Below are 12,578 nucleotides of genomic sequence, written 5' to 3'. Positions count from 1 at the left end.
TTTTGTTCATCAGCACGCATATTGTTTTTAGCACTGTTCTATATTGTGATAATATTCACCATATACTGATGATGATTGAGAAACGTTGGCAGCGTATTAAAAAACTTTTAGAGTATTAAAAAAGAGTCATTGGCCTGTGGGCTACTGATTTTATTGAATAGGTTCAGAACCTGTTTACTTTAAAGCATTCCCCTAAATGTTAAGGGTTCACTATGGTGAGACTTGAAAATTAGTGGCTAATTGGAAGATTTCAAAATCCAGTGAAATATCTTGGATCTGGAATATTTGGAGAATAATTAGAAAGAAAAGGAACCAAAATATGCATTTGGTAGTTAAGGAGATTCAGATCGAATCTTTTTGAAGGCCATGTGAACTGGAGTATGGGGACTTCTGTGTGATTTGTGAGCACATTCAATACTAAAGGAAATGCAATCGACTTTGCAAATGACGATTCGAGCACAGAGTGGATAAACTGACAAGACCCTATTACTAAATACCCACTTTGAAATATACATTCTGTTCTTTGTACCTCAGGGGACAAAAAGGGTGCATGCTTGTCAGAAATTTAATCTGTTTTCAATATTTATTTTTATTGGTATCTTCTCTTGGCCACCTATGGAGAGGTGGGCTTGTATCCCAACTACCATGGTGTGCCTGATTGTTCAAGAAATTTCCTAGGAATGCATTTGTAGTTTCACGAAGGCTGTCCATCTTAACAGGGGAAAAACTTCCTTGGCTGGAGTCTCACATTTTAATGAGCTCATTTTGGCATCTCTAGGGTTAAAGATCCTCTCAGAACCTATAGGTACTGGAAAAGGCGGTTTCTAAACTCAGCTGCTCAGGTCCATTTTATTTTTTTCCCCCAGCAAACAGGAAATGGAGCCCTGAAACTTTTTTTTTTTTTCCTAACTGGAAAGTGCGCGGGGAGGGGGCACACTCACCCTGCCCACATCCAACCCTGAGCCTGACCCAGACTTGGGGGTCTCCGTGTGTTTTTTCTTCCCTCTCTTTTTTTCTATTATTTTGGCAGACTTTTTGGAATGTCTGGGAGCTAAGGGCTTTGCTTCATGGAGCAGAATTCTGAAGCAAGAAAAAGAGAAAGTTATAGACTAAACCACAGAAATGTAAACACGTCTGCAGCTAAAATAACTCCACTTTCATTGAAAACACTCCTCCCTCACAATCAGACTTCTGTGTGCTATGGTCAATAAAACTGCATGTTAATAGCGACCAATTAATAGATTATGTTGCTCGGCCTTAAAAGTTGAGGGAGTTTTAATTATTATTTTTCAAATTAAAGGAGTGCTTATTCCCTCCCTTCCCTTGGGGTGGGGGGCGGGGGGAGACTTAGCTTTCTTTCTGGCTGTTTGCTGAAATTCTTGGCTGTTAAAGTTTGGAGAGGGAGGGACATGGGTAGTTTTCACTTGGTCGGAATGGGGAGAGTGTGCAAGAGATCGCTGCGGGACAGGTTCCTAGAGATCGCTCCGGGACGGTCGTGACGGCCCCCGAGGGACATGAGAGAAGAGGAGCGGCGCTCAGGTAAGCTGGATTTTGCGGTCGGAATTCGCGTAGAAACGAAAACTTCTGGAAGGGGCTTAGCCCCGAGCCCCGGAGGCGGACAAGCTGAGCCTCCTGGCTGCACCCTTTGGAGGCTGCTGGTTGCAGACGCCGTCGTCTCCCAAGGGCGGCTGTCACCGCGTGCGTCGGTCAGACCAGGCCGCGGTGCCCTCGGCATCCCCGCGTCCCGGCGGCTGTATCCGGCTCCTCCCCACGACCGAGGTCCCGGGCACCGCGCCTCTCCCTCCGGACGCTCTGCGCGACGTCGTCCCAGTTCTCATCAGCATCGAGGGCAGTCCGCGGTCATTTTATAAACGTCTTAGTGTCGCAACCGTTTTCACTTTTACTATTTTCAATGTTTGCAACGGTTTTCAATGAGGCTGGAAAAATATCACTTCTCGCTAAAAGCGACCCCGAGTTAGGAGGAGCGCGCACCCCCGCGGCTCCCCCTCCCACACTTTCCCTCCCCTGACCCCCTCTCCTCCCCTCTGGTCCTTCCCTTGCTCCTCGCCCCTCCAGTAGTCGCGTGCTGGGTTCCTTTCCTGCTGGGGCCGGACTCTCTCCTCCGGCCGTCCCAGCCTCTGCTCCTCCGCCTCCCTCCTCCTCTTCCTCCTCCTCCGCCTCCTCCTCTTCCTCCTCCTCTTCCTCCCGGAGCCGCCAGCCGCGTCCTAAACCCGAGCAGGGCGCGTAGTGTCCAAACCTGCCCGCGCGGCCCGCGCTCTTGGCCCCGAGGGCGCGCGCACGGACACGCGAGCACACCCACACCCACGCGCACACGGACACGCGCGCACTCGAAGACTCCCGCGCGCTCGCACCCACGCGCACCTGGCCACGCGCGTGCATTCCCGCCCACGCGTCCCTGCCCCGCCCCCGGCGCGCACTCCGGGTTCGCAAGTCGCGCGTCGGGGCGGCCGCCCTGCTCCGCGATTGGCGGGAGCCGGAGCCTCCCTGAACCCGGCGCCCACACCATGGGCTGAGCCCGTCGGCGCCGAGGGAGTTAGTGCGACCCGGCTCGGCGCGCACGGCCAAGGCACGCGCGCTGGCACACGCGGGCGCGGACACGCGCGGACACACACGTGCGGGACACGCCCTCCCCCGACGGCGGCGCTAACCTCTCGGTAAGTCCAGCGCCCCACGCGACCTGCCCGGCTCCCACGCTGGCTACAGCGGCTGCGGGGACGGGGAGGAAGGCAGCGGGGTGGCCCTAGGGGCTCACTCTGCAGGGCTCTTCCGACGGCGCCGGGACAGGTGGGGCGTCCAGCGCCGGGAGGGACGGCTCGCCAGTGCGGGGTCCCAGGGAGGCGCGTGCAGTCGGGTGCGGATGGAGAGGAGGGGGCACCCCGAAATTGACAAGGGCCAGGAGAGCACACCGCGGGGACTTCATCTGGGGCCCCGACCAAGAGGTTATTTGTCCTTGTCTGGAGTGGAAATCAGGGTTGAACTAAAAAAGCTGACGCTTGGCCTAAAGTAGGGACCAGGTTTGAGGCTGGGTTGTCACTGTCCGCTGGGTCCTGATGGTGGAATGACCCCCGACGGCGCCTTCCCGCACACCCCGCAACACCGGCTCTGGGACCAGCTCTCAGCGCCAGGAGCGGTCCCTTTCCTTTCCCACTCTCAGTCTCAGTCTTTTCACCTTTCCATTCTTCAGCCTGCAGCTGTTAAGTTTATTTGCCTCCAGTTTACCACCCTAATTGCAAAACTTGGCATGTTAAAAAAAATATAGTCTGTATTTTATCAGCTAGCCTTACCTGGTTTCTGTCTGAAATACATCGTCCGTTTATTGCTATGGTATGTTGCATAGATGCATAGAGGCATTAATTATCTTTTAAGTACAGGACAAATTCTGTTATTAATAGCAGACTACACTGCGCAATAAAATGGATAAACAATTTCAATGAGGATGTGGATTTAATACAACTCATCGTTAATCTAAAGATAGTTTCCTTTATCTTTCAAAATAACATATTCGTATGTGCTACAGGTTTCACTCTGTACATGTCTCTATAGCTTTTGTAGTTCAGAAAACTTTCAATGTGAGTAAAAATACATTTTATTCTTCCCTGGGTGACATACATAGGACACAGAGTTTATTTACCTTTGGGACTATTTTTGACTGTTTTCCATTCTCTCCAAGTAGTTTAGAGCCCCTGAAGGGAGAACTGTCACAGTCCCAAAGTTAACCCTTGCTCCGCTGGCATTGGCTGGTGCCCGCTCCCGGGGCAGGCCAGAGCTCATAGCCTTCATCCACAGGAGGATCAGGCAACAGACGTTGCGAAGAACCCAACCATGTAAATTAATTCACCATGTGTCAAATTATTAATAAGCTAATTACACCATTGAAATTATAATTCTAGCAGAAACGGTGAGCTATGTAAACTTGTGGCTAATATATCAAGTTTTACAATTCTCAAGAAAGGCTTTAGAAGAGCTACACACATCACAAATGCTATTTGCCATTTGGTAATCCTAGCTTCGGTTTGGGTCAATGGCTTTTGGAAAGTACACTGAATTAGCAAATGGGTAATCCGTCTCAAGATATTTGTTAAGGAATATATAATTCCAGTAGCACTTATAATTCCAGTTTCTTCTCTTTTGTAACATTTTATAATTACTTCATTCTATTTAAAAAAATTTAGAGTAGAATTGTAGTACATGATTTCACGTTTATCTGTTATTTCATGAGGAATTATTGGTGATTTAATCTTTAGCTAAAATTTAGAAAATTAGCATTTACCATTGAAGGGATTGTGTGAGGGGCTGCATTCACACCTGTATATAAACATTCCCCCCTCCACGTTCCACGTTTTGCTTTTATATTAAAGAAAAACCTTGTTGAGTTTTTAATCTTATAAAATCAGATATTTTATTTGTGGTAAGACCTAAGATCCCAATGGAATACCAGATACATAAGTAAGAAGGAAAGCATCTCTGAAAGACGTCAGAAGGAATGTGTAACTCACATACTATTCTACAATGTTATACGTTATGTATCTTTTAAATGCATCTCACATTGTAAGTAGGGTAATAGGAAACTTTCAACACTTTTTTTTTCTAAAAGTAATATTAGTTTTTATTTTTATCTTGCTATCTTTAAACAAAAAAGAAATAAAAGGGGGAATTTATTTCTTCTCAAAACAGAAGAGCTAATGTTTCTGGAATCGTTTCCTATTCCCAGGCAAAAACCGATAGCAAGTCAGTCCCGGTCATAGGATCTGGAGTGGTGGGAAGACATTGTCATAGTGAATAAATGTCTGATGCCTGTTATTTCATAGAACTCCATTGAGAAGGTGTCGACACAGAGCCACCTACGTTTCTAATGAGACTTATGGAGCCTGGGAAGCAGTTTGGTCAAGGTGGCAAAATCCCAGCTCTGTGAGGCATCAGGTCACTTCTCAGTTTAAGTTGACAGCTGATCTCTCTGAATGCAGGTCTCTTTTTGTCACCTCTTTGCTTCTTTACCCCTTGCGTCTGAGCAGTTTTCCAGAGAGCAGGAGTATGGCAAAGGAGTTCTTTTTTCCTTCCCCAGTGTGTAAGGTTACTTGGGCTTTCCCAGGGAGCATGGTCCTTCACAATACAGCTATTGTTTAATGTTCTACACCTTGAATTTGAACCTTAGCAGCAACATTTGTAAGAAAAATAGGCTGATGTAACAGGGACGTTCAGATCTTTGGGGCACAGTTTCCGATGATTATGGTACTTAGTGGCAGTGGTGTGAGTAGGGCTTTTTGAAAACTCTGAAAATCACTGCGGTATTTGGGGATGCTCATGCTTGGCAGTGACCAGCCACCCCTCCATATTGTTGCTGTTCCTTGCATGATAGCATTCTCCCTGGTATTTCCCACACTCTTATTAGGGGTCAGTTAATTAGTTGTCCATTATGCATTGTCAGTGTACGGACCTCTCACAATGATTGATTGAAAGCAGTTATTTTGTAAATAAACAACAGCGGGAGTTTTCCAATGGCTTTTCCAATGGCTGGGCTGTCACCCAAACCAGTTCTTCAACATAGCTAAAAAAGTTAAAAGTTAAAGTTAAAAGGGGCATCTTTCCCTTTTAACTTTATCTTTTATTTAAAACATTTTCATATTAGAAAGAGGCTTGAATGCTTCATGTTTGTAACATTGCAAAGTCTAGTGAAGGTAGTGAAGGAGGGTGAGCTAAAATTACTTTGCTAAATTTAAGTATAAGTAAAATGTAGACAAAACCAAGAAATTAAAGGGTGCATCTAAAAATGGAGCGCTGGATCTAAGTTTTAGATTTAAACTAACTTTTAAGTTCTCCTATTTTTAGGGTCGCATGTCATAATCTGGGAGACCCTGATTGCGTATGAGAAACAGTAATTTTACAATGAAAGTAAGGGGTTTGGCTATCTTGACTCAGTGCGTGTTCAGGAGAATGTGCAAAGGAAGTTTCATTATGTGACTCTGTCCTATTCAGAATGGCTATATGAGACAATGGAAATATCCTTCAAGTATGTAAAATAGGCCATTTGAATTAATTTATCACCTCTTTTTTTTTGTTATTATCCCAGAGAAATAGACATCAGATGTGATCTGGGACAAATCTTTAGTGTGTCTAAAGGTTTTTAAAACCTAGATTTGTAGTTGCTTCCTTTTAAAGCCTAACCTATGATTTTGAATTGTTTTAGTGGGAATGAGATTTTTGTACCTGCTTTTGTCTTATATGTGCTCCCTTTTAAGGATAACATTATTGCAGTAATTATTACCCCTGCAAAACATACTCGGGGGGGAAAAGCTGTCTCTCTAGGAAATAGGAAAGAAAACAGGCATATATAGAATGACTTTTAAAAAATAGGAAACCCTTATTTTCACTTGATGTCAGCATTCAGCAAAAGTTCCCACATGTTCATTTGAAAGTGTAGAAATGCATTTGAACCTCAGTTTTGAGAGTAGGGGAGCAAAGGAGCGAAGCCTTATTTAGTGAAGTACTATCGTCCTATTTCCATTAAGTGATTCTCTGTTATTGGTAGAAAGATTAATTTTCTCTCTAACTGGGTGGAAAGAGTGGCTATGCATTCTTGGGGCTCACTAAAGTACTTAAAGTTGGAAAGTAAAAGAAAGACTAAATTGGAGCGTGCACATTTTTCTGCACGCCTGGCAGGGAGGTTTGTGTGACTATCTTAAGGAAATATTAGCTTGTGCACCGTCAGAAGCTGCATCCTGGAATCAGATTAGCTGGTGTTGTGAATCTCCATCTGAACTAAGATGGACAGTAAGAGAATCCCAATATCTTAGTAAATCTGTTACTTACCTATTGCCTTAGTTTAATAAATTGATTGAAATTGGCAATGGGAACGTGCTGTTCCTTCTTGGTCTACAGATGTGAGTTCCTGAAATCCAGGCAGCCCTTGATGTCTCGATGGCCCAATGACATGGGACAAGCTCTGCAGTGTCCTTTCATGGGTCCTGTCACTGGAGCTTTCCATCTGTAGGGGCTGCTGCCAGCTTTGGAGCCTGAACCTCTCTGCCCTCCCTGGAACCCCCCTCCAGCCAGAAACCCCTTTGTAATATTCCTCTCTTTCTTCCACAGACCCTTGCCTGCTGCTGGGGCCTCTGCAGGGGCAGTGGTTTCTCATCACGTGTGGGTTGGCGGGGGGCGCGGTGAAGAGTAGGGGAGGGAGAGAGCCCTGGCCTCTGGGGACCTTAAAACTGTATTTCATGGAAAGCCTGTTTTCCAAGGCAGGCAGATTCTGCAGTACTACCTGCAATTCCTCCCATTTGGCCTGTTCACCAAATAATTTGAGGGGGCAGAGCTGGGTACCAGCCTTTACTTAGAGCTGTGCTTCTGTTGAAAAGTGGGGCCCAAGTTTGTATTAACTAATCTGGGAACTGGATGCTGAGGTAGAGTCTGTTGGTCATGTTGTTGTCCCCCAAAACTTCACTTCTTAAAACCATGACAGTTTCATGGTTACAGTGACAGTGCTGCTTACATTTTAAAAATCCACACTCAAGCCTCAATAAGCCTGAAGGGAATTTGGCCTGATTAAATGGTTCTTTTTAGTTGTTCGTAGTCAGATGTCACCCCTCACACACAATTAATTTGTTCGGAGCCAAGTGCGTTCCACACACATTGCTAAAGGGTGAGAAGAGGGGATAGCAGGTGAATCTCCTAGCAATCAAGCTAATTATCCATTTGCAATGTATGGTGGGAGATGCTGAATGCTAGTGCAATGCTAGCATTGCATTGTGTTCTTAAAATGAGGACTCTTGGGAGAATTGGGAAGCTTAGGCACAGGCAAAGCAGGAATTTCAGAAACACGGGATACCTCCCTGGACCCACCTCTGTGTGCAATGAAGGCTTGGAATTCTGCTTGACATGAGAGTGAACGGGGGTCTCAGGGTTCAGAGGAAGGACTGAAAGAAGCTATTATGAGGGCCCTGTGGGAGGAAGAGGGGGTGACTGTGGCACTACTTAGGAAGGGGAAACTTTAGACCTCAGCACTGAAGAAGGTGCATTTCAGGATTTTTGCATGGGAAATGCAGAGATCTAAGCAGAGTATAAATAATAAGTGAAGGATGTACTAGCAAAATGAAATGTTTTGAAACAGAAACCACTCACATTTACAATCTCAACATAAAACTTTTTAATTAAATGTATCAGAAAGCTGAGATTTCTTTTATTAGGAAATGAGGTAAAAACATTTTGAAAAGAAACCAAGTGCTAATTGAGAAACATTCTAAGATTTCATATGTTGAATGGATTCTCATTAAAATTATACCCAACCTCACAAAGCTGATGTGAGCCTGCTGCCAGATTTACAAATCTGGGTCTATAATTGCACAAAGTTTAAACTTGCCTTGTGCAAGGCTTGCTTTTTCTGCAGTTCAAGATACAGCAGCAAGAGGACAGAATAAGCAAAAGTGGAGGAAAAATTTGCTTCTTCAGTATTGAAAAGTACTTTCTAGTCTATTTGACCCCGACAGTAAAACTTACTTCACTACAGAGTTTTAAAATAGAAATAATGACAGTAAAAATCAAATCTAGGGAGTCTTCTGGAGAAGAGATGTTAGATCAGCATATTATTAGTATTTATCCCAAATTCTGAAACCTTACCTAAAGGCCCTGCCATTAGAACAGAGAGGGATATTATTGATTACTACTTGAGGTATCAAAGTAAAAGGATTTTATTTATGTATTTATTTATTTAGAGATGGAGCCTTGCTCTGTTGCCCAGGCTGGAGTGCAATGGCACATTCTTGGCTCACTGCAGCCTCCACCGCCTGGGTGCAAATGATTCTCCTGCCTCAGCCTCCCGAGTAGCTGGGATTACAGGCACCTGCCAACAGGCCTGGGTAATTTTTGTAGTAGAGACAGGATTTCGCCACATTGGCCAGGCTGGTCTCAAACTCCTGACCTCAGGTGATCTGCCCGCCTCGTCCTTCCAAAGTGCTGGGATTACAGGCGTGAGCCACTGCGCCCAGCCAGTAAAAGGATTTTATAGATGAAATAGTATCAGTTCTGAAGATCGAATATCTCTTAATGAAACTGAATATATTTTTACAGTTTTCTAAGGCTTGTAAATATAAGTGATTAGACAGAATGTCCCACAAGGGCAGTTTCTTCTAAGTACCCCATAGCCAAATTGTAAAACCAAAGGTAAGTCAATAAAATCATTTCATAAGTATGTGTAACCCACAGTAAGGGCTGTATTTGTTTGTACATTACGAGCACATTTGTAAATGCATTTAGCATCAATATAAACTTTTTCTTTGCAAAATTAAGCATTACATTGTATTAATTGTTCTTTATGGGTCTTAAGCAACGTGAAAATACATTTCTTAATTAAAATATATTGAGCATCTATTAAATGAGAGCACTGTCCCAAACAAGAGGTGGGAGCATAAGTCATACAGGGACTGTTAAGACACGGGACACGTCTAGAGATTAGACGAACAACTGCAAATTTAGTGGGAGAAGCCAGAACATTCCGCTATGGAGCCCGCCTATCCACCTGTCTGTCTGACTGCAGCAATTAGTGGCATGCTTGAATTTTTCTCTCTTCCATGAGTTGTGTTAACAGGTAAACAAAACTACCACCCTTTTTACTTTAAATAGCTAAGTTTAGCTGAAGAGAGGAGCATCCCCTCTTGCAAGGACACTCTAAATGCGGTGTCCTTAGGATAAATACCTACAGGTGGAAATTAATACAGGACAAGTGGAATGCCTGAGAATTCAGGGAATGCTGAGTAGGCAGAGATCAGCGGGCAGTCAGATTTGACTCAAGGTGAGAAGATACAGGACTCCATCCACAGAGGGGGTGCTCCGGATCCTGGGAAAGGCACGTGCAAAGGAAGGGAGGCTAGAAGCTACAGACTGTGTGGTGGAAGGCAAGCTGTCCATTTAGTCCATGTTTTTGCCTTATGTTCTGTGTAAGACTTCATGCAAGACACTATGCAGAAGACTTGCACAGTGCCTTCAGGGAGGCAAAATCCAGAAAGAGGATGAATCCGCATGCTATGGAATCTAGAAAGGGAGGTGAGCAAGAATGCCATGGAATTGGGGCAGACATTCACACCACAGAGTCTAGAAAGGAGGGGAACATTCACATCGTGGAATCTAGAAAGTGGGCGAATGTGCATGCCGTGGAATCTAGAATCTAGGCGGTGAATGCGAATGCCGTGCAATCTGGAAAGTGGGTGAACATACTTGCCATAGAATCTAGAAAAGGGGTGAATGCTTGTGTCATGAAATCTAGAACGGGGGTGAATGTGCACATCATGAAATCTCGAAGGAGATGAGTTCACACACCAACAAGAGTGGCATCCTCAGTGGGACCACCTGGTTGAACTGGGCCAGCATGGCAGTGAACAGGGCTCTAGACTGTATGGCAATGGAGGAGATGTTCCCGAGCAGGGAGACAGCCTCGTGCAATACACTGGGTTTGCTGTAGGGCCGTTCTTGGGCATGCTTGCTATCACACAGGTCCTTCTTTCTTATGGAATCATTGGAGGATTTCATTTTTAGCCTTAGCATCAGGAGTCATTGTCTGAGCATTTGGTTGGATTTCATTATTTGGAGACGTGTGAATGACCCAACTCCAGCAGATATGTGAGACCCTGAGGCCTGCCTGGCGGGCCATTGCATTCCTAGCTCGAGTTTATGTTCTTACCCTTGTTTCTCTTTAGCTTCATCTTTATTTTTTATTTTGCTTCTGAATTTTAAACAACCTTGTCATATTGCATATATCCTTGTAGACCACTTTGAGTCCCTTTTTGGGAACAAGGTAGAGTATAAATAACATAAAATAGAATCATGCAATCCAAAAGCAATCTACACCATTCCATAGGAAGATCAGAGGATCAGAGCATGCTACCCGGAGGCTGAGGCCCTTGAGCTGTGCCATGGCGTGTTGGATCTGGATTGGCGGGAATGGTAGAGATAGCAGTGGGCGGGAGGGTGGAGGAGTCAGGCCTGCTGGTGTGTTTGGAGGGTGGAAGTGTTACCTGGGAGTGGGTCACACAGTGTGGAAACTGACCAAATCCTCTGGAGTGTTGGAGGGATCAGACCAGACACCTACTTCAATATCTCAGGTGTAAAGTTAAGAGGTAGGGAAGAAAGCAGTCTTACATAAGGGAAGGGAGAGGTGTGATGTTGTGGAAGGTGGCAGGTGACATTCACTCACCAGATGGTATAGCCACAGGAGACACTTTGCCAGGACTGTCTTCACTGTGGCTCTTTGCAGGAGGTGCTCTAATTGTCCTCATTTTCCAGAATAGCAGTGAGGCTCAGGAGTGCTGAGCACCTTGCCTGGAGTCACACAGTAGTGGGAACCAGGGCAGCATCAGAACCAGGCAGGCGGATGCTGAGATCCACCCATGGGACTCTGCTGTGTGTAGTTATCTTGGTCAGAGTGGCGGGCCTGTTATGGAAGTGACCGGAAGGGAGCGAGTGACGTGGAGGCAGAGTCCGTGTAAGGTCCTGGCAGTGCTGGGCAAAGGAAATAGAACATGAACTTCAAGGGTAGTTTTAAATCTTCCAGTAGCCAAATTAAAAAAGACAGGGACAGGTGGAATTAATTTTAATAATGTAATTTATGTAACACATGCTGAAAATACTACCATTTCAAATGTAATCAGTGTAAAATATGGATGAGATATTTGACTTTATTTTTTTTCTATATGAAATCTTCAAAATCCATTGTGTAGTGTATATTTACAGCACGTCTCCATCTGGGCTGGTCACATTTCAAGGGCTCCATAGTCACATGTGGCTAGTGGCCACCATGCCGAATAGTGCAGGTCTAGAATGTTTAGCTTAGGAATTCAAATTTAATATAATGAGCAACCGCAACATCTATTATGTCTCTTGGCCACAGGAGTAGAAGTTTTGTGACCTTATGTCACTAAGGAACCAGATATGATAGCAATAGAAAATTGAATGCCAGCGTGACATGTTCGGTACTAGATCTGCAGTTTTTACATTGGAGGGAAAAATGTATGTATAATTTCCTGTTGAGTCACTTCATGCTTTTAAAGGGTAAAATAAAATACTGAATTTCAGGCCAAAACTCTGTGTGCCAGCTAACAAATAGTGCGGCTTTTGCCGGAATCATGCTGCGACAACTCCAGGCATAAAAATGCTATTTGAATATCCTCTATTTAAAGATAATTCCAGCTTGATGACAAATTTCTTATTTTGCATGTTTCTTGAGAATAATACAATTGATTATTTTGAAGAACGGCATTCTTAAAGTGCTAGAATCCCAGAGGAAGAAAGCACATCAACTAAATGTATTGCTATAGAATTAACCTTTACAAGGACATATTCACACTATTTGATCATGACAGGTTGCACATAACACAGGCTTTTCCCTTCGTTTGTGATACTGAAGCTTATGGAAAAGTCTTCTGAAGTCAATCCACAGTGCTTACATGCCATTTGTTATTATCAGTGTGCTATATGTGTACTATACGTGATGCGTCATTGAGTAACCTTCTACCCTTTTAACTATGCCACTCTTTTTTTTTTAATTTTTATTTCTTGAGACAGAGTCTTGCTCT

At 44.5% G+C, this 12,578-nt stretch overlaps 1 protein-coding gene across 6 annotated transcripts in view; it reads left to right on the top strand.

Annotated features, from left to right (window-relative positions):
* The window catches only part of ERG (ETS transcription factor ERG), a 294,523-nt gene continuing 283,358 nt past the window's right edge, over positions 1,414 to 12,578 (top strand). For 4 of the 6 annotated variants that reach the window (NM_001243432.2, NM_004449.4, NM_001136154.1 and 1 more), the window contains exon 1: positions 1,417 to 1,539. The gene's annotated coding sequence lies outside the window, so the exon portion shown is untranslated. Of the gene's footprint in view, positions 1,540 to 2,529; positions 2,676 to 12,578 lie in introns of those variants that run through there. The other 2 variants (NR_111949.2, NM_001243428.1) reach the window with 2 other exon arrangements.

This window comes from Homo sapiens, chromosome 21 (assembly GCF_000001405.40).
Source record: "Homo sapiens chromosome 21, GRCh38.p14 Primary Assembly".
In the NCBI taxonomy this organism is placed as follows: domain Eukaryota; kingdom Metazoa; phylum Chordata; class Mammalia; order Primates; family Hominidae; genus Homo; species Homo sapiens.
This window is presented reverse-complemented; position numbering and strand designations above follow the sequence as displayed.